The sequence below is a fragment of the Homo sapiens genome, chromosome 20 (genome assembly GCF_000001405.40).
Source record: "Homo sapiens chromosome 20, GRCh38.p14 Primary Assembly".
NCBI classification, from domain to species: Eukaryota; Metazoa; Chordata; class Mammalia; order Primates; family Hominidae; genus Homo; species Homo sapiens.
The window spans coordinates 1,694,325-1,721,160 of NC_000020.11; the positions used below are offsets into that span (position 1 = coordinate 1,694,325).

The 26,836-nt window shown below is 42.4% G+C and overlaps 1 pseudogene across 1 annotated transcript in view; it reads right to left on the minus strand.

The window, feature by feature from the left end:
- The window catches only part of SIRPB3P (signal regulatory protein beta 3, pseudogene), a 27,968-nt pseudogene continuing 1,132 nt past the window's right edge, over positions 1-26,836 (minus strand). The window contains exons 2-5 of the transcript NR_164369.1: positions 7,308-7,438; positions 3,102-3,455; positions 834-948; positions 1-216 (exon numbers count right to left, since the gene is read on the minus strand). The product of NR_164369.1 is annotated as a signal regulatory protein beta 3, pseudogene (transcript). The remainder of the gene's footprint in view (positions 217-833; positions 949-3,101; positions 3,456-7,307; positions 7,439-26,836) is intronic.

Sequence of the window (26,836 nt, forward strand, 5' to 3'; positions counted from 1 at the left end):
TCAGGACCATGAATGAAGACCCTGCTATGGAGCATCAAGGACTCTGCAAAGGAGCAACAGGAGCCTGTGGGCAGGAAGATGTCCTGGGAGGACAGGCATTTGGAGCTGAGTCTGGGGAAGCTTCTCGCCAGCTCCTTCTCTCCAGCTGAGCCCTTCAAGGAAGGAAGGAGGCAGCACAGACTGAGGGTCCCACATGGCAGGGGAGGAGGAAAGGAGCTGTGGGAAACACATCCACATTTAGTCATCTGCTCATCCTTCAAGAAATGATTCCTGAGACTCTGCTATGTCCTCAGTGCTGGTCTTCCTCTTGGGATGCCTATTATGGGTGGACAGGGAGCCCTGAGATAGAATTTCACCTGCTCAGCCCTCCTCCCAAGTCCTGATGCCCTTTCCCTCATCCCTCCCACTCAGGCGCTGAGAGCCTGAGAGCACTAAGAGCAGCCCACTTGAGGCGTCTCAACAGTACTCTACAGTGGGGATTCCTTAGATGCCACGGAGTACAGCATCAAATAATTGAGAGATGGCCTGCAAGGGACCACCTACAGAGTTGGCCCTCATTCAGCCCCCTCTCCCCACCTCCCCTATGGGCCCCTAGGGTGCTGTGGACACCTTTGAACACCCTTATGGTAGCCCACCTCCTGCAGCACCCACACACTTCCTGGGGTTGGGATTCTCCTAGAGGGTTCCCTGAGACTTCTGAGGGTGCTGAGGAAGCCCCATCACCTTCTCCAAACTCCACTGACCCTGAGGCTGTGTGGCATGCGGGCTGGGTGCTCCTGCTGGCCTGACCTTCTGGAGCAGCCCTTGGCCCACCCTCCCTCCTCTACACTTACAGTCAGGCCTTCTGCTTCCGGTGGACATAGGCAGCAGAGACATCAACCAGCAGCAGCACCTTGGAGCCCAGGAGGAGACCTAGGAGGAGTGAGGCAGTAGGAGCTGGCACCCGGACTGGAAATCAGGAGACAGGAGGATCCATTAGAGGGGCCACCTGGGAGGCCATCCCAGGGGCCTCCACTTACCCCATCTGAGGCTACCTGGGCTGTTCAGTTCTCCAAAGCAAGAGTTCAGAATGAGAAGTTTGGAGGGATTCTCTATAGTTTAACAAGTGCGCTGGGTGTTGCAGAGACAGGGGCTATCAATCAGGCTTGTGGGATTCAAACCTTGGATCCCTGACCTGTTCACCACTCAGGTTCCCTCTCTGAGCCTCAATGTCTTCATCTGTAAAAGGGACAGCAAATGGCTCCGACTTCGTAGCACTGGTTAAAAGGAGAAAATGCCAGGATGACGGTACAGTCTCTGACACAACCGCTGCTCCTTGGCCCCCTCCCACCTCCCTCTTCTTTCATCCAAGTGGTCACTTAGGCCAATAGCATGGCAAAGAGGAGTGAGAACCCTACTAGGAGTTAGCAGATCTCAGTTAAACCTGAGTCACTTGCTAGCTGTCATTGTTCCAGGTATGAGATGCACCACCTGGGAATTTTAGTGTCTTTGTCTGTAATATTTGCAAATTAGGATAAAGCCACATTCCTACCTATGTTCAAGGGTTCTGGGGAGCCTTGATTGCTGTTTCATCTAGGAGGGAAATTAGGCAACATCCATTTAAATTAAAACACATACACTCTCTGACCTAACAATGCAACTTCTGGCAGGCATCTGCCACCAGAGTAGGATAACATATGTGCAGGTTCACCCACAGCAGAATTGTTTCAAAAGCTCAAGGTTGGGAACCACTTACATATCCATCAACAGAAGTCTGCAAAATAACATTTGATATTTCCATAAATTGACATATTCTGCAGCTGGTAAACAATGGAGCAGGTCTCTATGTCCTTATATGGAATCTCAATAAGAAATTATATGGCTTGCATTTGGGAGAGGTTTTCCAATCACCAACAGAGCACAGAGAATGAAGGAGAGAGGCGTTCTAAACCTTTGAGTAACTATGAAAAGGAGAAATACTGGCTTCCTACTCGGTTCTTTTCAAGGAGCTTTCATTCAGCACCTACTACGAACCAGACTCTTCTATGGAGAGAGTATCTAATGCCAGGATGGAACGAAGCCTGCCTGGAGTAGGATCTGGGCTCTTGCCCCAACCCTAACTGGCCCTGTGACCTTGGGCAAGGCCCCTGTCATTTCTTGGCTTCAGTCTCCCATCTGTAAAAGGGCATTGGGCTAAATGGTCTGAAGGTCCTTTTTGCACTGATATTCCAGGATTCAGGAGTTAAATTGAGGAACCTGGGCCTCTGAAAGAAAACCCAAAATAAGCATTCTGCTGCCTTAACTGGGGGACCCCTAAGTCACCCATATAGAGGACCTCTTCTCTTAGGCGAGGGACATTCTGAGATGGCCTAGCTCTGCTTGAAACCTTTAGTGACTGTGTGAGGCAGTCCCTGAATCACACAAGGGTTTCCTGAACAACCCACAAACATCCTGGATAGACCCATAAAGCTCTTGCCGTCTCCTTTCACCACGGCCATCAGATTAAACAGTGAATCTGTGTCCTTCAGGAATCTTCCCAGTGTGATGGTTCTGAAGATTATATAAAGAAAAACCCAATTTACTCCCTCAGTGCTCTGGATGGATTTATCCTCATTAGAAGGGAACAGAATGTAAGCTTGGTGAAAGCAGAGCTTGTGCCTTTTTTTTTTTTTAACAACTATTTGCCCAGCAACCACGGTGGAGACTCACACACAGTAGGTTCTCGATGAATGCTTGTTACGTAAAGAAGAGACTCAGCCACCCTGGGGGGAAAGTGCTCTGTGGACGCAGCAGGCAAGGTCTAGCCTTGTGCCTGGGAAAATCACTCAAACCATCAGCTCCCTTATCTGTGGAAACATGGCTGGGCCAGATTAGAAGAGGCAAAGGCTATGGTGCCAGGCAGACTAAGGTTTCAGACTTCCCCATCATTTACCAGTCACGGAGACTTGAGTGAATAGCATGACATCTCCAGGCCTCAATATACCTGATTTGTAGAAGAGGGTGGCATCAGATCATGAAAGTGAGCACCCACTGCCACCCTTGATTGTTGCTGACAGAGGACAGTGCTATTATTGACTTCTTGTCATACCTTGGGGGATGAAGGAGGCCTACACTGTACTCACCACGCACAGACATCTGAGTCCCTGGTCCAGACTTAATCTCCACGTTGGCAGGAATTGCTCTCCGGAGCTTCATACAGTAGTAGGTGCCAGCATCTTCGAGGGTGATGCTACTGATGCGGATGGAATAGTCTGTGCTGTTTCTCTTTCTCTGGTCTGAAATAGTTGTTACCCGGGGAGAGTGGCATCTTTTTGGACTATAGATTAATTTCTGGCCTGGACAAGCTCCTCTGAACCACTGGATGGGTCCCACAGGGAGCAGGGAGGTCACAGTGCAGTTCAGAGTGGCCATCTCTCCAGCTGCAACTGACACAAATGCCTCAGGCTGAATCACCTGCAGCTCCTCACCTGCCACTCCTAGAAAGTAACAGAGCAGTCATTTACTCATCCTTACGTGATCTTGAATGTTTCCTCAAGTGTGTATCAATGAACTTCAATGACTGGGTGCATACCAGGAGCAGGCCTTGAGCTCAGCACACTGTGTGTATTATCTCATTTAACCCTCACAACAAGTCTGTAACATGAGACTGTATTATAAGTGAGGACACTGAGACACAGAGAGGTTCAGTTTCATGGAAGAGCATGGGGTTGCTAACCTGAGTGGAGCTCCTGATCCCCCCTTGGAAGTGTCATGCTTTGCTAAATATTTGTGCCTCCACTTTCTGGCCATATGGAATGTTGCACTTTCTTTTTTTTTTTTTTTTTTTTGAGACGGAGTTTCGCTCTTGTTGCCCAGGCTGGAGTGCAATGGCATGATCTCGGCTCACCACAACCTCCGCCTCCTGGGTTCAGGGGATTCTCCTGCCTCAGCCTCCCGAGTAGCTGGGATTACGGGCATGCGCCACCATGCCTGGCTACTTTTGTGTTTTTAATAGAGACGGGGTTTCTCCATGTTGGTCAGGCTGGTCTCAAACTCCCGACCTCAGTTGATCTGCCTGCCTTGGCCTCCCAAAGTGCTGAGATTACAGGTGTGAGCCACCGCGCCTGGCCAGACTTTCTGAATCATTGCATTGGGTGGAGCCATGTGACTCCTTTAGGCCACTGAGTTGTGAGCAGAAATGATGGGTATAATTTGTGGGCTGTGCATTTAACTGCAAGAGCCTCTGTGGATTAACTTCTCCCTTCCACAGAGACCTACGAGGCTCTGATGAGGTCTGCTCCATCAGCCTGGATGCCTGAATGACCATGAATTCTCCACACACACTGAACATGCAGCTTAACTAACAAGTACAACATTGTTTTAAGCCCCTGAGAATTTCTCACCCATAGCATAATTACATTACCTTAGTTTCCTAATGTTGATGTGACAAATTATCAGAACTTAGCATCTTAAAACAAAAGAAACGTATCATCTTATAGTTCTGGAGGTCAGAAGTCCAAAATCATGTTACTGGACAGAATCAAGGAGAAAAATCTTCAGATATACAAAGATAGAGGATGACATGTTGGTGGCCAGGAGTGAAGTCGGAGAGGTAATGGGGAGATGCAGGCCAAAAGATACAAAACTGCAGAAAGGTAGGATGAAGAAGTCCAGAGATCTAATGTGCAATATGAGGACTAGAGTTAATAGCATTGCATTGAATTCAGTATTTTTGCTCAAAGAGTCTATCTTAGATGCCCTACACACACACACACACACACACACACACACACACACACACACACGGTAACTATGTGAGAGGGTGGATATGTTCATTTGCTTGACTGTAATAACCATTACACTATGTCTATGTATACGAAAGCACCATGTTTTACCCCTTAAATAAGAGGTGTCAGCAAAGCTGTGTGTATTCTAGAGGCTCTGTTCCTTGCTGCCACATTCCTTTCCTCACAGTTACATCTTCCCATCACTCCCACATCTTGCTTCCATTGTCATATGTCCTACAAAGACCCTTGTCATATATTGGGCCCTTTCTGACACTAGACCAAGATGTTAAATCACTGTCTTAAACATGCTCAAACAGCTAAAGAAAACAACAGAAAAAAAACTAAAGAAACATTGGAATATGATGCATTAATAAAATAAGAACAACAGCAAGAGAAATTATAAAAAATAAACAGAAACTTAAGAGTTAAACAGTACAATAATTGAAAAATCCACTAGAGGTGTTCTCCAACTGGTGTGAGCAGTCAGAAGAGAGATTCAGAAAACTGGAATATGGAATAATTGAAATTATTGTGACTGGGGAATAGAAAGAAAAAGGAATAAAGAAAAACAAGCAGAACCCGAGGACATTGTAGGACATTATCAAATGGATCAACACAAACATTGTTAGAGTTCTAGAAGAAGAAAAGAGGAAGAGAGAAAGGAACAGATTATTTGAAGACATAATACCCCAAAACCTTTTGAAACTTGATAGAATACATGAATCCTCAAATTTAAGATTCTGAAGAAACTCAAGTTTAACTCAAGGAAAAATTCAGAGACCCACACTAAGACACATTATAATCCAACTGTTGAAAACTAAAGTCAGGGAAAGAATCCTGAAAGCAGCAATAGAGAATGGATTCCTCACATACAAGAGTTCTTCAATGAGATGATCAGCCAATTTCTTATCAGAAGCACTGGAAGCCAGAAGGCAGAGGAGTGATATGCTGAAAATGCTGAAAGAGGAAAAACCTATCAACCAAGAATCTTATACCTGGGAAAACTATCCTCTAAACATGAGGGAGAAATTAAGATATTCTCAGATGAATAAAAACTAAGAGAGTTCACTACCATTAAACCTTACCTACAAGAGTGGTTTCAGGTAGAAATAAAAGGATGCTACATGGCAACTGCAAGTTGTATAAATAAAAATGTCCAGGCTGGGCATGGTAGCTCATGCCTATAATCCCAGCACTTTGGAAGGCCAGGGCGGGCGGATCACGAGGTCAGGAGATCAAGACCATCATAGCCAACATGGTGAAACCCTGTCTCTACTAAAAAATACAAAAGTTAGCTGAGCGTGGTGGTGCATGCCTGTAATCCCAGCTACTCAGGAGGCTGAGGCAGGAGAATAGCTTGAACCAGGGAGTCAGAGGTTGCAGTGAGCCGAGATCATGTAGCTTGAACCAGGGAGTTGGAGGTTGCAGTGAGCCGAGATCGTGCCACTGCACTCCAGCCTGGTGACAGAGTGAGACTCTGTCTAAAAAAAAAAAAAAAAGTCCTGCTACATGTAAATTTATTTTAGTTCATATTTTTCTGATGCTTCAACATCCCACAATCATGCTGTGAGTACCCTGCCCAGGTGACCAGGTGCACCAGTGTGATAAGGCTGGCTCCTGGCACAATTTCCCTTTCTTGCCCTCCCATATTGTGACCTAATCCCATAAAAAGACACCAGTAAATCCCATCATGCTCTTTGCTTGTACCCTCTACCCTGACTCCCAGTAAAGGCACTTGCTGAGGAATTCTTTCTCTCTTGCTTCCCCATCTGCTTGATTGAGCCTGCTTCCTAGGAGCTCTTCTCATATGGCTTTCTACGTAGCATGCCCTACTTCCCTCTCTAGGACCTGTGAGTAAAATAAATCATATTCCACATGCCTTTCCAAGTGAAAATTTCATGACCATCTTAGAGTGATTCATAAAGACCCAATAGCCTGACTTTAGCATTTTCAATACCAATGGCAATGAGAATGGGATCATTCTAAACTGGGGTGGAAATTTCCTAGGAGATGCTCTTTAACTATTCATGGCTTACTAATTTGCTACTCTGATTGGCTCCACAACTTGAGAAGGCTTTTTACACTGATGGCTTTCTTTTGCTGTGCTATGTGCAGCTTCATGTTACCTTTTGGAGTTCTGCCAAGACTCTCTATCCTGAAGTGAGGATCCTGTTTAAATATCAATAATGACATCTACATTTCTTCAAGAGCACAGGATGACATAACATTGATAACAACCTCTTCAAAGGAGATTCATGTGATGTGCATATTAACATCACATTATCCAGCATCTCTAAGTTGTTTTGAGGCGCCAGTGGCAACATATTCTTCTTTTACAAAGTTTATTTACAAATTAAAATCAATAGGCACCCCTGTTAGTGCCTATAAACAAAGAAACAAAAATACCTCTTCTCTGTGGAGACTTTAGCAATTTCTTTCATGCTTTTTGGAGTTTCTAGACCATTCATGATGGCCATACATCTCCCCAGGGCCTTTGATGCAAAAACAATGCCCCTCTCACCCTTGTGCTATATTCCATTAAAACAACAAATGCCTGGTTACCTACTGGGCTCTCCCATCCTGGAGTCCAGATCTAGGAACAATACTCTCCTGTTGCAATCATGAACCGTAGATTGTCCCACATGCAAGGCTCTGCTCATCTGAAATGGGGCCCATTGGAACCTAAACTTCCACTGAAAAGCAAAATTAAAATTTCCGTCAGGTGCAGCTGCACACCATTTTGTGGACTGTTGGTCTTATAATTTGTTGATGCAACAATTCTCAACCAAATACTAACAAACTGAATTTAATAGCATATTAGAAGGATTCTACACCATGAGTAAGTGGAATTTATTCCTAGAATACAAAGATGTTTCAATATACAAATGATAATGTAATATATCATATTACACAGTGAAGAGAAAAAGACACGATTATCTCATTTGATGTAGAAAAGCATTTGACAAATTTGAACATCTTTTTATGAGAAAAATAATCAATAAAAGGAATATATGGACATTTCCACAACATGATAAAATCATATACTCATACTACACTATTTTATTTATCTACTTATCATGTGTATTGGTTATTATCATTTCTCCAGTAGAATATAAGCTCCAAAAGGTCAACCACTTTTGCTCTTTTATTCACCAATGCATGCCATGTTCTATGTCAGGTCCTGGCACATAGTAGCTATCCAATATATAGGTGTGTAAGGTGTGAATTACTCATTAGAACACTTCCCTGGGACACTGAAATCTATTTTAAGTGGACTGCATCTGTGATATTTGCTAGAAACTGAGTTTCCCATGTAGATGACTTGGTTTAAAAAACATTCATTTGCATACACAAAGAAAGCAGAAGAGCCCAGAAGGAGAAAACCACAAACCCTCTTCCTATACCACAACCCCACTCACTCCCAGGAGCAGCAGCTGCAAGAAGTCTCATGGCATAGCATCAAGGCCACAAGTATTTGACAAGAGTGACGGTGAAACCTGTGATCTCTGGAGTCAGAGTGCCTGAGTTCGAATCATAGCTCTACCAGTTACCAATGAGCATCCACACAACTCTTTGTGCTTCTGTTTTCTTATCTGTGAGCAGTGGGAGGAGGTTAAGGGGAATATTTATTCTGGGCATAACAACCATCTGAGGTAACAGCTATAAGGCATTTCCAACAGTGTCTAGCACATGGTGAGTATTCAAAAATTGTAAATTATTACTTTTTAGATTTTCTAAGTCATGGAGGCTTCAATCGACATTATATGATATGCATATGGATACAGCTATTGATATAACCATAGATGTAGATAACATAGACAGCGCTCTCTGTTTTATCCCTTTCTTTCTTCCTCACTCTTACCCTTCATGAAAGAGGGAACTCTAAGACAGTAATGCACAGAAGTTCTGCTTTAAAATAAAACTCATTTTACCAAGAGAGAAGTTGCTTACCTATTGCTTATCTTAACAGATTGGGAGAGTTTCAGTGGTAATATCAGATGGTAGAAAGGGGAAGAGAGTGGCTGGGCAACAGGGAAAACCAAACATCTCTTCAACGTGCATTTCATGTAGACTAAAATATGAATGGAAGAGAATGTCTTTTTAAAATCCTGTGTGTTTCAGCATGATTAAGTGAGATTTTTCTCAGGAATACAAGGATGCTTCAATAAACATAAATCTACAAATGCAATACAGTACATCAGCAGAATGAAGGACAAAAACCATAGGACCATATCAACAATGACAAAAAAAGCATATGACAAAATTTAACATTTTTTCATTGTAAAAATGCTCAAAAAATTAGATGTAAAATGAATGCTCCTCAGTACAATGAAATCCATATAGGACAAATCCACAGCTAACATGATATCCAGTGAAGAAAAGTGAAAAGCTTTTTCTCTAAGATCAGGAACAAGACAAGGATATCCTGTCTCACTAATTCTATGCAACATAGTATCAGAAGTCCTATCCAGAATAATTATCAAGAGAAAGAAATGAAAGTCATACAAATCAGAAAGGAAGAATTTAAATTGTTGCTGTTTTCAGAAGACACTATCTTATACATAGAAAATCCTAAAATCTCTAAAAACAATTAGATCAAAAAAGCAAATAAAGTTGCAAAATAGAAACTTAACATGCAAAATCAGTGCATTTCTATACACTTATGACAAATTAGCTTAAAAAGATTAATAGAATAATCTCATTTACCATTGCTTCAAAAAACTAAAATATCTAGGAGTAAATTTAATCAAGTAAGTGAAAGATCTGCCCCCTGAAAACTATGAATCACTGATGAAAGAAATAGAAGACACACAATGACAAGATATGTGTGTTTAGGGATTGGAGAATTAATACTGTTTAAATATTTCCTGAGGAGATCTACAAATTCAGTTCAATCCTAAAAAAATTCCAATGATATTTTCCACAGAAATTGACAGAACAATCTGAAATTAATATTAACTACAGAAAACCATGAATAGGTGAAGCCATCTTGAGCAAAAGAAGAAAGCTGGAGGCACCAGACTGCCTTATTTCAAAATCTGGTACAATGCTATAATAATCAAAATAGCATGGCATTGGCATAAGAAGAGACACATAGATCGATGGTACAGAATAGAGAGTCCAGAAACAAACTTACATATTTTTGCTTAATTGACTTTTGACAAAACTGTTAGACATACAATGAGGAAAGACCAGTCTTCAAAAACTGGTGTTGGCAAAACTGGATGTCCACATGTAAAGGAATAAAATTGGACCTTCATCTTATATCACATAAAAAAATCAACTAAAATGGATTAAAGACATAAATGTAAGATCCAAAACTGTAAAAGTACTAGAAGAAAAGTGCCATGACATTGGTCTGGGCAGTTAATTTTGGGATATAAACCCAGAAGGACAGACAACAAAAGCAAAAATAGACACATGAGATTCCAACAAACTAAACACTGTCTACACAGGCAAGAAAACAATCAACAGAGTGAAGAGACAACCTGTAGAATGGGAGAATATTTGCAAACCATACATCTGATAAAAAGTCAATATATAAAATATAGAAGGAAGTCAAACAACTCCATAGTGAGAAAACAACCCAAAATATAAAATACAGGCCAAATATCTGAACAGACATTTCTCAAAAGAAGACATTCAAATGGCTGTAGGCATATGAAAAAAATCCAACATTACTATTCTCCTGAGAAATGTAAATTAAAACCACAGTGAGATATCATCTCACACCAGTTAGAATGGCTATTATAAAAACAATGATATTTAACTAGTGTTGGAGAGTGTGTGCAGAGAAGAAAACTCTTGCATACTGTTGGTGAGAATGTAAATTAGTTCAGCCATGATAGAAACAGTATGGCAATTCCTCAAAAATTAAAATAGAACTACTATGATCCGGCCATCTCACTACTGGGTATACAATCAATGGAAACGAAGTCAACATGTCACAGAAATATCTGCACTCCCATGTTCACTGCAGCACTATTTAGAATAGCTGAGATATGGGATCAATCTAAGTGTCCATCATCAACAGACAAACTGATAAGGAAAATACACAATGGAATTCTAATCAGCCTTACCAAAGAAGGAAATCCTGTAATTTTTGACAACATACATAAACTTGGGGGACTTTATGCTAAATGAAAAAAGCCAGGTGCAGAAAGACAAATACCACATGATCTCACTCATATGTGGAATCTAAAAAAGTTGAACACATAGAAATAGACAGTAGAATGGGTGTTACCAGGGGCTAGGGAGGAGGTATGGCTGGGGAGAGATTGGTCAAAGGATACAAAATTTCAGTTAGATAGGAGAAATATGATTAAGCGATTACCTGTACAATATGGAGTCCATATTTAATAACATCCATTATACTAAGAGAGCAGATTTTATGAGTTCTCTCCACAAAAAAAGATACGTATGTAAGATCATGCATATGTTAATTAGCTCAATCTAGTCATTTCAAAATGTATACATATTTCTTAATATGTTGTAGATATGCATAATTTTGACAAATAGAAAATAAAACTACAATTTTTTGTTAAAAATTTAATTTAAAATAGAAAGAGAAATAATAAAAAATAAAAACTCCTGTGTGTGTATTCTTACACTCGTATACACAAATGTGTATACACACACTCACACATACACACATTCATAAACACATATAAAAGCATGGCCTATCATGCTAATATACAAGGTTGTTTTGTGCATTGAATAAAATTATAACACTTTTTTTTTTTCGAGACAGTCTCACTGTCCCTCTGCTGCCCAGGCTGGAGTGCAGTGGCATGATCTTGGCTTACTGTAACCTCCGCCTCCTGGGTTCAAACAATTCTCGTGCCTCAGCCTCCCAAGAAGCTGAGGTTATAGACATGCACCACCATGCACAGCTAATTTTTTTTGTATTTTTAGTAGGGACAGGGTTTTTCCATGTTGGCCAGGCTGGTCTTGAACTCCTGGCTTCAAGCAATCCACTTGCCTAGGCCTCCCAAAGTGCTGGGATTACAGGCATGAGCCACCCTGCCCGACCTAAATTATAATACATTTTAAAAGCTCAGTAAAATATCTGGCACATAGAAAGCATCCAACACATTATTAACAAAAGGTTGGAGTGCATACAACAGGGTTTTAACTCTGGTTGTCTCTGACTGGTGTGATGGGTGGTGATTGTTCCTCTGTTTTCCTCCCTGCACTTTCTAATTTTTCTGCAATTAACATAAACTGGCTTAAAGAAGGAACTCTGGAGCTGCTCCATTGACTGAGCTAGGAGACAATGAACAAGTTCCTCCCTCTGCCTGACTCCCCTTTTGCAAGTAGAGGATAACAACTGTAGCTTTCACACAGTGATATTGTGAGGATTAGTCACATTAATACAAAATGCTAAGAAATGTGTCTGTCTTATCAGAAGAGTTTAATTGGTGAACTATTATGGTAGTAATTTCACTACAGTGTATGTGTAAGAAAAATACTTTTAAAAGTGGGAGCCCTGCCCTTTAGGATCTGTGAGGGGACATCACAGCAGGGCCCACTGGGGAGCTGAGAAGGTACTATGCCCAGCCCTGTGACCATGGGGTCAGCTCCATGGATTGAGAAAGGGGTGAGGACAAGCAGCCCGGCTCTCAAAGGCTGCACCAGTTAAGGCCCTCCAGTCCTGCCTGTCTTGGGGAAGGGGAAATAAAATCTCCACAGAAAAGTCTAGGGAACCAAGGCATGTTATGGGGACCTGTTATGGGCTGAATGTGTCCCCCACAATGAATGTGTTGAAGTCCCAATCCCTAATAGCTCAAAATGTGACTGTATTTGGAGATAGGCTCTTTAGGAAGTAATTCAGTTAAAGGAGGTCATTGCGGACAGGCCTTAACACAATGTGACCCTGTGACCCATGTTTTCACTACAGGAGGAGCTGAGGGTACAGACGCACACAGAGGGAAGACCACGTGCTAAGACACAGGGAAGAGATGGCCTTTTACAGCCAAGGAGAGACCTCATTAGAAACTAACCCAGCCGGGCACGGTGGCTCATGCATGTAACCCCAGCATTTGGGAGGCCGAGGTGGACGGATCATTTGAGGTCAGGAGTTCGAGACCAGCTTGATCTACATAGTGAAACCCTATCTCTACTAAAATACAAAAATTAGCCGGGCATAGTGGCGGGCGCCTGTAATCCCAGCGACTCAGGAGGCTGAGGCAGGAGAATCGCTTGAACCCAGGAGGTGGAGGTTGCAGTGAGCTGAGATTGCGCCACTGCACTCCAGCCTGGGTAGACAGAGCGAGACTCCCTCTCAAAACAAACAAACAAACAAACAAACAAACAAAAACCAAAAACCAAAAAAACTAACCCAACTGACACCTTGATATTGGACTTCAGGCTCCAGAACTGCGAGGAAGTATTAGCCCCCCAGTCTGTGGTACTTTGTTATGGAAGCCCTAACAAATATAGGACCCAGCAAGCAGAAGATGTGGAACTTCTTAAAAAGGAACTGGCCACAGAGAAATGGTGGTAACACTCAGATCACAGAGGAGGGAGGAATGGGGGGAACACAGGGCAAAGGGAGGAGCACCCTTAGGGAGGATGGTGGATGCAGGACATCTCCAGGAAACACTGCACCCCTGCCCAACTCAAGCAGGCACCATTTCAGACTTCACTTCTTCAGGATGGTGCACAGAGAGGGCTGGGCTTGGAGCCACACAGCCTTGTCAGGCTGTCTCTGAGCTCACTCTGTGGGCTTCCGCGGGTTTCTTTGCCTCTGGAGCCTCAAGAGTTGCAAGGATTTAAATAATGATTCTTTTGAATGTGTTGTGTAAACTGAACTACTATAAAAATGTAAGTAATTGTTTTGGTGGTGGTTGAAGCATCATGTGGTTTGATGCCTCTGGTAGCCAGCTGCAGATCCACAGAGGAAGTATGCACCTCCCTGATCTTCTGCTCTTAGACAATGCCCAGTCCTTGACTTTCCTTGGCAGCACTTGTGGTTGTCTGGAATCCCTGGAAGCCCAGGGGAAGGCCATGGCTCCGTGGTGAAGAAGAAAGCATTCTAGCCCAAGGCAATGCTCACCTGTGAGTCCTAGCAGGAGAGTCAGCAGCAGGAAAGGACTAGGAGGGTGGGGCCAGGAGGCTAGGATGGGTATCCTGGAGACATCAGGGGCCTGCTCTGTTCAAACGTCTGTGCTGGGGAGATCTCAGGCTCTGCTCTAAGTAGATAAGACAAGCGCTGGCTCCCTCGATTCAAGAGGAAGTAGCTGTGATGAAGTGAGACAGTAACCTGCTTCTAGATTGTGACATAGAAACCAGGCACAGCAGGCAGCTACAAAGTAGAGTTCTCATGCTCCATTTTCAGGAGAATCAGACACACTTAGCAGAAATAATGCTTCCTGCACACCTTGACCATGTTCTCTCTCCCCACATCACCCCTATCTCCATCTCAGATATTTTTGGTGATTCCGCAATTGGGGGTTTTAGGCCAAGAAAGATCTGTGATTGTGAGCTATGCCCTAAACTGTCCATGTCAAGACCGTAAGATGTGGCTGGCTTGCTGCCTTAGTCTGCACCAGCTTCAAACAAACGCTACTCAGCTGGAGGCAGGAGGAACATTTACAGGACTTGCTCAGCACTGGAGAGGAACCAGATCTGCTCCTGAAATGATTCCTTATTCCAAAAGTTTGTTGATGTAACTGCCCAAACTTAGCCCAAATTCAGTCTAATCTGGGACCTTAGCATTTTCATGTGCCTGCATCCAGCAGAAAGAATCATTTCACGACTTCCTCCAGGAGAGGAAGTGGGTTTAGAGTAATAAGGATCTGCTTTAGGAGGTAGGTGGGGATTATGGATTCCAGAGATGAGACAGGGTTATGATGGGAGGAGAATATGGTGGACAGGTTCCTGGGGCCATCACCTCAATTTCAGTACCTTTTGTTCGTGAATGAAACACCTATTTCATTCACTACTGTATTCAGATAAGACCTGAGGAGGGAGGAAGAATAAATGCCCCAACCAAGAGTGTGTGCTAAGGAGTTGGGCAAGCTACTGGGCCCTCCTAGGCTCAGTTTCATTAAACTGTGGATAATAAGTTTAGGATAATATCTCCTAAATGTGGATAATAAGGCTTTCCCTGCAGATGTTATGGTGGAGACTAAAAGAGATGTTATAACTATACCATGCCTGAAACACAGTCGGGCATTATTGATACTCATGGTGCCATGTAAACAGAGGGAACTCAGGTATTGCTTTTGAATGGATCCTTACTGCCTGGCAAGTTGCAGGGACTTCCTCCTATCTAACTCCCTGGTCCTCCTGGGACCCAGCTTACATGAAGCACTTGGACTACCCCTGCCATCCTGATATCAATGGCTCCCTCTGGGATTTTCTTCATCCTGCTCCCTGTCAATCCATACATTAATCCCTCCACTTATAATTTCCAACTGTGTGGCTTTCAACAAGACACTTTACTTCTCTGAGCCTTAGTTTGATTGTACGTAAATGGAGGTTATAACGTGCACCTTGTAGAGATACGGTAGAATAATATAAGCTATACAAAATGCTAGACTTCTACTTAATTATAGCCAAAAAACTGTGGCAACAATTTTTTTGTGTAGAAGAAGCATTCACTGCTTCCCTGCCACAGCTGTACTTTAGAAAAACCACTTTATTGGGAGAAATGGTTTCTCTTCCATCATCTATGACTAACAAAGCCCTGTCCAAAAACATTTCTGTTGCATTCTGGGTTTTAGATTCTTCATCTGTCATGAGAAATTGTCAAATAAAATTGTAAAATTTATCATATTTTCATTCAAATGTTTCAATGTGGCAGATATGCACATGGTGAAATCTTCCCCTGTCTGTGATTCCACACTCACAGAAAGGAAAATGAAAAATTATATAATTATATTAATCAATGTCTAATTACACTTATGAACAAGAAATGAGTCTCCACATAACATGAAGGAAGAGTGGCCGCATCATTTATTGAAGATGTGTTATGCTCCAGATACTGCATCAAACATGGTATGTCAGATCTCATTAAATCATTACTCCAACCCCATGAGGTAAGTGCTACCATTAACCTCCTTTTACAGGTGAGGACACCTGAGGCGGATAGAGAGTAATGAATTTGCTCAAGATCACCCAGCTTTCAGAATTAGAACATAGACTGTCACACTCCACAGCCTTCACTTTTAATGTTTGCTCTATGACAGTTCTCATAGGGAGGGAGAGTCTGTTAGTCTGTTCTCATACTGCTATAAGGACAAACTTGAGACTGGGTAATTTATAAAGGAAAGAGGTTTAATTGACTCACAGTTCTGCAGGGCTGGGGAGGCCTCAGGAAACTTACAGTCATGGTAGAAGGGGAAGCAAACACATTGCTCTTCACATGGTGGTGCAAGAAGTGCTGAGCAAAGGGAGAAAAGCCCCTTATAAAACCATCAGATCTCATGAGAACTCGCTCACTGTCATGAGAACAGCATGGGGTAACAGCCTCCACGATTCAATTACCTCTCACCAGGTCCCTCCCATAACACGGAGGGATTATGGAAACTACAACACAAGATGAGATTTGGGTGGGGACACGGGCAAACCGTACCAGAGAGACATCTTTCAGGAAGTAAGCAGAGAAGAAGCCATAGCCTCAATTAGAAGCAGCCACCACAGGGAGGTTGGGGCAGGTGCCACGCTTCATGAGACCCTGACAACCCCTAATCACTTGGGGCGTTATTCCTGGAAAGATAGCAGTGCATGCAGGAATCTCCAAAGATTTGGAGAACAGCAGCACCATGAGAGCTAGCTAACCAATCCAAGAACAACAATAACTAAAAGCAAAAACAGCAATAAAGAGAACTTCTCCACAGAGAAAACATTAAAAAAAGTCAATGTGAAAAGGTCTTTAAAATTAGTATATTCAATAACCTTATAAAGAAAACCGAAGTAAATCCATAAAACATCAGGTATTTATGAAACAAGAATAGGCAGGCATGAAATAACAACAGGCATCTAAGGAAAATACCAAAACACAGACTGGAAATGAAAACATAATTAGTGCTGAATTTTTTAAATTAATAGGTTTAGTAGCTGAGATATATAAATAAGTAGTAAGTTGGTGAGCTGGGTGATCATGTCAGGGAAATCTCCAAGCATCCAGCACAAAGAGACACACCCAAACAAAGTAATATAAATAGGTACAAATATAGGAATAGCAAAAGATATACCACAAAAGCTTTTCAAGATGGCAGATTAGACGCATTGCTAGCATACTTCTCCCACTTGGAAGGAAAAAATAGTGTGTAGAGAGTCACACTGAGAACTTATTTCCAAGAAGCGACACAGAAACTGAATAGGAAAACCGAAGGAATCGACAGACCTTTTGAAGGAAGCAGGAGGCTGCCGCCTACACTGTGAGTCAGGCAAGGGCTGCGAGTCCCCAGAGTGAGAGGAAGGGAGAGACTGCCTTGGGGATAGACACCCCCACCAGGGACCCTGAAAGTCCAGGCAATGGGGGAAGGCTCTAACTCCAACCAGCGCAGGAACCGACTTGGGGAGGCCTGTGGAATATAAAAGTAGGAGCAACGGCGGGAAGACCCGTGAATGCACTTCCAGATCCTCGTGTGGACCGATGGAAGCCATTCCCTACTGTTCCACACAGGGGACTCTCCGGAGGACAGCCGAAAAGTTCAAGCAGTTGGTCTCAGGTTGAAGGAAGCCCCCAAGGGGGTTTCACAATAGAACCTTGGGTGGGGATGAACTCCCTTGGCCAGGACCAGGGCAGGGGAGAGTGAAAAGTGGGCTGCAACCGCAAGTGCAGGAGCCAGGCACCAGGCTTTCCAGTGGATGGGGAGAGGCGTGGTCTGAAAGCGGCTGTTATTTTCACATGGGCAACTGGAGTTCTGAGTGCAGGCTGACTGGAACTTAGCTCACTGCTGCCAGTGTAACACTGTGGGAGTGGATCTGCCTCGCCAAGTACGTGGGAACTGTGTGGGGGCTTACCGCTGCCTGCTACTCACCATTCCATGTGCGAACCCTTCTGTGCAGCACAGGCAGCAATACTCCCCTCCGGAAGGTCAACCCAGTGACCTGAGACCTGCTCCCATCCCCACAACACCCACAGGGGCTGCTGTGTACCCTGCCAGCAAAGACTCAGAGGGCAAACCCGCCTGACCCAGCTCCCATCTGGCTTTGCTCTGCCACTTGCCCTGGTAGCTTCACATAAAGGACAGAAAATCTTGAGAACTATATGCCTCTCCTCATTGCCTGAGAAACCAGAGTACCCGCACTGGGCAACATAAGGCAAGCAAAAATCCTACTGCTACTACAGCGGCTGGTGCTCTTTTGCAAGCGTCACCTCCTGGCTGGAAGCCAACCAACACAGTCCATGATAGCATCTCCTGGTGGAATAGCACTGCGCCCAAGAAGGAGAAGACAGCTGTGAAATCTCCGTTATCACTACTGCCTGCACCACTCTGGCTAACCAGGAGGTCCTGAGCCTGTCCATATGATTAGATCATTCCACTCTAACTGGTATTCAAGAAAGTGAGTACACTAAGGCTATCAATAAACAAGGAATCTCACAGAGTCTACATCACTCACCTGCTACCACCATTAGAGCTAGTGCTGCTACCCACTGCTGGGAGACTTGAGGACAGGTTGTATCACCAGATCCCTTGCAGACACTCCCCAACATGAGCCTGGAGTGTGGCAACTTCACTGGATGGCTAGACCCAGAGGAACAATAACACTTACAGTAGCCTGGCTCCCAGGGATCCCCACTCTTAGGAGAAGGGGGAGTGCACCACACCAAGGGAACATCCTGTGAGACAAAGGAATCCAGACAACAGGACTTGAGCATCAGATATTTCCACTGGTGGGAAGTTAACAGAGGCACAATTGTAGTGCTGGCCTCAGCAGGGAAAATCTTCAGCTCTAGCCCAACAGTCAGACAGCCTTGGTGCCCATGAAGGGCTTTGGATAAGGAAATATCTTTTCTCCCTTGTCCACCACCACAGGCATGGTTAGGGCTTTTCCCATGGGAGTTAAGTGTGGGTTAAACTATAGACGCCCTTTCTGGAACACGTCAGGGTGATGGCATCCCCACAGGAGGAGCATCCTCCAGGTGCCGGCTTGCATGAGAGACAGAGTCACAATTCCTCTCTACTTGAACATCAACATTCCTACCCATGAAGAGGTGCCTGTCTGATCTGAATGCTGGAGTACTAGGACTGGAGTGTGTCTGAGAGGTGAATAAATTTCCTGCTGACCTGGCAGGGGAGCTAAGGTGGCTTCAACCCTTCCTTCTGATAAGACCTCAGTGCAACTCACTGAGAGCTCCTCCAAGAACCTCTGTCAAAACTGGGACCTCTGCCCACCATTGGGTATCGCATTTGCCCATCTGCTGTAGCCACAACTAGTCCCTACCCAGGGACACCTCCCCTATTGGCCCCTACTACAACTAGCATGTGGGAAAGCCATTATACAAAGACTTTATAACCAGGGAACTCTTACAGTCTTCATCCCTGGAAGCACCAAGAACCAAATTAGGCTGTAACTAACTATAAGTATTAAAGTCTCATCCTTAAGGGGAAAAAGAAATTAAAACAAACAACAAACTTAGTCAAATCAAACATAAATTCAAGAATAGTTAGAAGAAATAGCCTACCCAAATAAGAAGGAACCAGAATATAAACTCTGGTAATATGACAAAATATGGTTCTATAATACCCCCAAAGGATCACACTAGCTCTACAGCAATGGATGCAAACCAAGATGAAATATTTGAAAATACCAGATAAGGACTTATTAAGCTACTCAAGGAGATATCAGAGAAAGGTGAAAACCATCATAAAAAATTTTTCTAAGTTTAGGATATGAATGAAAAATTTTCTAGACAGATAGATATCATCAAGAAAAACCAATTTGAATTTCTGGAAATGAAAGACACACTTAGGGAATTACAAAATGCAGTAGAAACTTTTAATAATACACTAAAACAAGTAGAAGAAAGAATTTCAGAGCTTGGAGACAAGGCTTTTGAATTAATTCTATTAGGCAAAAATTTTTTTAAAAAGGGTCAAAAGAAATGAACAAAGTCTCCAAGAAATACAGGATTATGTAAAATGGCCAAATCTAAGAATAATTGATGTTCCTAGGGAGAAAAGAAAATAACAAATCTGGAAAAGATATTTGAGGGAATAATTGAGGAAAATATCCCTGGCCTGGCTAGAGATCTAGATATCCAAATCCAAGAAGCTCAAAGAACTTCTGGGAAATTCATTGCAAAAACATCTTCACCAAGGCATATAGTCATCAGGCTATCTAAAGCCAACATGAAGGAAAGAATTCTAAGAGCAGTAAGACAAAAGTATCAGGAAACCTACAAAGGAAAACCTATCAAACTAACAGCAGACTTCTCAGCAGACACCTTACAAGCTAGAAGGGATTGGGGTCCTCTCTTCAATCTCCTTAAACAGAACAATTTTCAGCCAAGAATTTTGTACCCTGCAAAACTAAGTTTAATAAATAAAGAAGAAATAAAGTAATTTTCAGACAAACAAATGTTCAGGGAATTTGTTACTACCATACCAGCACTACAATAAATGCTAAAAGGTGTTCTAAACCTTGAAACAAAAACCCAATATGCACCAAAATAGAATCTCTTGGAAGCCTAAAACTCACAGGGCCTACAAAACAATAACACAATGAAAAAAAAATTATCTAGGTAACATTTAACATGATGAAGAGAACAGTACCTCACTTCTCAATATTAATGTTGAATGTAAATGGCCTAAGTGCTCCACTTAAAAGATACAGAATGGCAAAATGGATAAAAAATCACAATCCAAATATCTACTGTCTTCCTGAGACTCACCTAACATAGAGGGATTCATATAAACTCAAGGTAACATGGTGGAAAAAGATATTCCACACAAATGGAAGCCAAAAGCAAGCAGGAGTAGCTTTTCTTATATCAGACAAAACAGACTTCAAAGCAACAACAGTATAAAAGGACAAAGATGGTCACTATATAATTATAAAAGGATCAATCCAACAAGAAGATATTACAATCCTAAATTTATAAGCACCTAACACTAGATCTCCCAGATTCATAAAACCACTACTAATAGATCTAAGAAATGAGACAGACAGCAACACAGTAATAGTAGAAGACTTTAATATACCACTGACAGCACTGGGCAGATCATCAAGACAGAAAGTCAACAGAGAAATAATGGACTTAAATTACACCCTAGAACGAATGGACTTAACAGATATTTACAGAACATTCTACCCCCAAACTACAGAATATACATTCTTCTCATCAGCACAAAATAGACCATATGCTAGGTCACAAAACAAGTCTCAATAAATTTTTAAAAATCAAAATCATATCAAGTATCATCTCAGACTACAGTGGAATAAAACTAGAAATTAACTCCAAAAGAAGCCCTCCAAACTATACAAATACACAGAAATTAAATAATCCACTCCTGAATGATAACTCGGTTAATGATGAAATCAAGATGGAAATTAAAAAATTATTTGAATTGAATGATAATAATGACACAAGTTATCGAAACCTCTGGGAAACAGCAAAAGCAGTGTTAAAAGGAAAGTTTACAGCACTAAATGCCTACATCAAAAAGTCTGACAGAGCACAAATTGACAACCTAATATCATGCTCCAAGGAACTAAAGAAACAAGACCAAACTAAACCCAAAGCTAGAAGAAGGAAAGAAATAACAAAGCTCAGAGCAGAACTAAATGAAATTCAAACAACAACAACAAAATACAAAAGATCAATAAAACAAGAAGCTGGTTCTTTGAAAAACTAAACAAAATAGATAGACCATTAGCTGGATTAACCAAGAAGAGAAAAGATGCAAATAAGACCAATTAGAAATGAAACTGGAGCCATTACTACTGACACCACAGAAATACAAAAGATCATTTGAGACTACTATGAACACCTTTATGCACATAAACTAGAAAACCTAGAGGAAATGGATGAATTCCTGGAAACATACAACCCTCCTATATTAAATCCAGAAGAAATAGAAACTCTGAACAGACCGATAACAAGTAGCGAGATTGAATCGGTAATCAAAAAAATGGCAAACAAAAAAAAAGGTCCAGGACCAGATGGATTCACAACTGAATTCTATCAGACATCCAAAGAAGAATTGATATCAATCCTGCTGAAACTATTTCAAAAGATAGAGAAAGAAGGAATCCTCCCTAAATCATTCTATGAAGCCAGTATCACCCTATTATCAAAACCAGAAAAGGACATAACAAAAAAAAGAAAACTACAGACCAATTTCCCTGATGAACATAGATGCAAAAATCCTTAACAAAATACTAGCTAACCAAATTCAACAGCACAACAAAAAGATAGTTCATCATGATCAAGTGGACTTCAACCCAGGGATGCAGGGATGGTTTAACATACACAAGTCAATAAATGTGATACATCACATAAACAGAATTAAAAACAAAAGCCATATGATCATCTCTATAGATGCAGAAAAAGGATTCAACAAAATCCAGCATTCCTTTATGATAAAAACTCTCCTCTCAAAAAACTAGGCATAGAAGAGTCCTACCTCAAAAAAATAAAAGCCATAGATGAGAAACCTATGCCAATATCCTACTGAATGGGAAAAAGTTGAAAGCATTCCCCCAAGAACAAGAATAAGGCAGGGATGCCCACTTTCACTACTTCTATTCAACATAGTTCTGGATATCCTAGCCAGAGAAATTAGGCAAGAGAAAGAAGTAAAGAGCATTCAAATGGGAAAAGAGGAAGTCAAACTATTGCTCTTTGCAGATGATATGATTATATACCTAGAAAATCCTAAAGACTCCTCCAAAAGACTCCTAGATTTGATAAATGAATTTGATAAAGTCTCAGGTTACAAAATCAACGTACACAACTCAGCAGCACTGCTGCACACCAACAACCACCAAACTGAGAATCAAATGAAGAACTCAGTCCCAAACAACTGCAAAATAAAATACCTAGGAAAACAAACAACAGTTGTAAAATAAATAAAATACATAGGAATATACTTAACCAAGAAAGTGAAAAATCTCTACAACAAGAACTCCAAAACACTGCTAAAAGATATCATAGGTGACACAAACAAATGGAAACACATCCCATGCTCATGGATTGGAAGAATCAATATTAAGGAAATGAGCATAATGCCCAAAGCAATCTACAAATTCAATGCAATTCCCATAAAAATGCTAGGAGCATTTTTCACAGAATTAGAAAAAACAATCCTAAAATTCATATGGAACAAAAAAAAAGAGCCTGCATAGCCAAAGCAATACTAAGCAAAAAGAACAGACCTGAAGGCATCACATTACCAGACTTCAAATTATACTACAAGGCTATAGTTACCAAAATAGCATGGTACTAGTATAAAAGTAGGCACATAGACCAATGGAACAGAATAAAGAACCAAGAAATAGAGCCCAATATGTGCAGCCAATTGATCTTCAACAAAACATGCAAAAATATAAGTTGGGGAATGGACACCCTATTTAATAAGTGGTGCCGGGAAAACTGGCAAGCTACATGTAGAAGAATGAAACTGGATTCTCATCTCTCACTTCATACAAAAATCAATTCAAGATGAATCAACGACTTAAATATAAACCTAGAACTATAAAAATTCTGGAAGACAAGGTTGGAAAAACTCTTCTAGGCATCAGCCTCAGCAAAGAATTCATGACTAAGCCCCAAAAGCAAATGCAACAAAAACAAAAATGAATAAATGGGACCTAATTAAACTAAAAAGCTTCTGAACAGCAAAATAAATAATCAGCAGAGTAAACAAACAACACATACAGTTGGAGAAGATATTCCCAAGTCAAGTTACAATTGACTGGTAAGGATACCGAGGCCCACGATGGTGGAGTGCCTTGTCCCAGATCACAGAGCTGGGAAATGTCAGAGCTGAGATGTGGCACAGGTGATGGGGCTCCAACCCATGCTCTCCTAACCACTGTGCTACTGACACTCAGTAATAACCCTAACACCATCACCATCCAGAACTCTGTGCACATCCTCTCCAATCCCCACAGAGTCCATAATGGTGACCATGATCATCACCATTTCACAAATGGGAAAACTGAGGACTCGAGGGTAGCCAAGACTTTACCAAGATCACACAACCTTGGGAAAACAACCCCATCATTTACTGGTCTATTCTCTCCCCAGATTAGCTGTATCCTCTTAACATCCTGGAATGATTGGTGTAATTATCTACACCCTACATATGAAGAAACAGGCTCAGCAAAGGGAACTGGGTTGCCTGAGATCACACAGCCTTGAAATAACACGTGATTTGGGAGAGTGCCTACAATGTGTTAGGTGATTTACAGAGAGAATCTTAAGTCCTTTCCACTCTCCTAAAGGAGTCCAAGATTGTCATGATTTTACAGATGAGAAAACTGAGACTAAGAGAGATGAAGGCACTGTCTTCTTATCCCCCGTGCATGACTTGGGCATTTCCTGTGTTTTGCCAAGCTTCCCTGTTCATCAAAGAGTAAGCACTAGAACTTCAACATCCCCAACAATGACTGCCACCTCCCTTGTCCCTTTCAGATTCTTGACTTAATGCAATTCTAGGGAGAAGTCTCCCTTCTGGGTGCCCAGGGCTGGTTACTCTGTAGTTCTCCCCTTGGGCTCCCTATGGTTACTCTGTACCCATAAACAGAAGACCTTGGGTTCCTAATAGCCCAAAAAAGAATGTAAACTCTTGCTCACACGGGGCATGAGAACTCTAGGAAATGTCTCATTCCCACATCCTTAGTCTTCGGCACCATGAGTGGGTGGGCACGTTGTAATGGCCCAAGTGGCTCACCTTGCCCATTGCCTAGACAGAGTCGATTTATGAAGACAGGGGAATTGCTTGAAAGAGTAATTCACACAATTCTGGCTTTGCGGGAGACCAGAGATTTATTATTACTCAAATCAGTCTCTCCGAGCATTTGGGGAGCAGAGTTTTTAAGGGTAAGTTGGTGGGTAAGGAGAAGCCAGTGAGCCAGGAGTTCTGATTGGTCAGGGATGAAACCATAGGGAGTCGAAGCTGTCTTCCTGAGCTGAGTCAGTTCCTGGGCAGGTGGCCATAAGAGCAGAGGAGCCAGTTTTTGGATCTGGGTGGTGCCGGATGATACATCAAGTTCAGAGTCTGCCAAATATCTCAAGCACTGATCTTAGGAGCAGTTTAGGGAGGGTCAGAATCTTGTAGCCTCCAGCTGCATGACTCCTAAACCATAATTTCTCATCTTGTGGCTAATGTTAGTCCTACAAAGGCATTCTAGTCTCCAGGCAAGAAGGTCTGCTTTGGGAAAGGGCTGTTACCATCTTTGTTTAAACTATAAACTAAGTTTCTCCCAAAGTTAGTTCAGCCTACGTCCAGGAATGAACGAGGACAGCTTGGAGGTTAGAAGCAAGATGGAGTCAGTTAAGTTAGATCTCTTTCACTGTCTCTCATAATTTTGCAAAGGTGGTTTCAGTGTGGTCTGCTGAAAGGCAGGAGGCTGGACTCAGCTCCATGGATGCTGCTCGATGAAGGAGAAATGGCACATGTAAGAAGAGTCCTAAATGCCAAGACATATCTTTTAGGACAGGTTCAACATAACATATAATGCCTGCAGGAACTTTCTGATGGGGGTTGTCAAGCCAGCCCCTCCTACCCACACAAGAAGAAGCCTTTTTTTTCTTTTTTTTTTTAATGTTTAGTGATATAGAACAGAACAATACAACAGTTTAGAACGAGAAGGTTGAAGCATTTCCCTACACTTCAGCAAGCACAGCTGGGTGTTGCGGAGACAAGGGCTGTGTGTCAGGCAGCTGGGGGTCAAAACTTGGCTCCTCTGCCTGCTCACAAGTCAGGTCCCCTCTCTAAACCTGTGTCCTCATCTATAAATGAGGCAGCAAATGGTCTCCCTCTCATAGCACTGGTTATAAGGAGAAAATGCCAGATGAAGACACAGCATCTGGGACAGCTGCCACTCTTTGGTCCCCTCCTCACTTTTCTCCAATCTAATCCAGGGCATCGTTTAGGTTAATGGCTTGGAAAACAGGAATGAACACTCTACTAGGAGTCAGCACATCTGAGTTACTCCTGAGCCTTAATAAGGGTGCTTGCCTAGGCACAATATGAACCATCGTGGAATTTCAATGTCTTTGTAATATCTGCAAAATCAGGGTAAAACCACCTTCCCTACCTATGTTCAAGGGATGCAGGGTGGTGGTGGGGGGTGCTGATTATTTCAACATCAAGAAGAAAACATTAGCAATAGCTACATACCTTAAAACACACACACCCTGTGACCCGGCAATGTCACTTCCAGTGGGTGTCTTCCACCTGAGCAGGATGACGCATGTACATATACAAGGCCACCCACTGCAGCGTTGTTTTAGTAGCCCAAGGTTGGGAACAACTTACATATCCATTAACAGAAGACTGTAAACTAAGTTTGATAGCTCCATAAGTTGGAGTACTCTACAGGTATTAATTGAGCAGCTGTCTATGTCCTGATATAGAATCTTTATATAAAATGAAACGGGTCACATGTGGTGCCTCATGCCTGTAATCCCAGCACTTTGGAAGACCGAGGTGGGTGGATCACCTGAGGTCAGGAGTTCGTGACCAGCCTGGCCAACATGGTGAAACCTTTTCTCTACTAAAAATACAAAAATTAGCCTGGCACAGTGGCAGGCACCTGTAGTCCCAGCTACTCAGGAGGCTGAGGCAGGAGAATCACTTGAATCTGGGAGGTAGAGGTCTCAGTGAGCCGAAATGTTGCCACTGCACTGCAGCCTATGTGACAGAGGGAGACTCCATCTCAAAATTAAAATAAAATAAAATAAAATAAAATAAAATACTTACTGTTTTCCAGTCAGGCTCGAGGTCTGAATGTCAGGGGTGTTCTGAACCTTGGGAAGGTGGTGAAAAGGGGAAGTGCTGGCTGCCTCTCAGTGGTTATGTTCAAGGAACATCTATTCAGCACCTAGGATGTACCAGGCTCTTCTGTGGAGACGGTGTCTAACACCAGGGCAAGAAGGACCTGCCTGGAATCGGATCTGA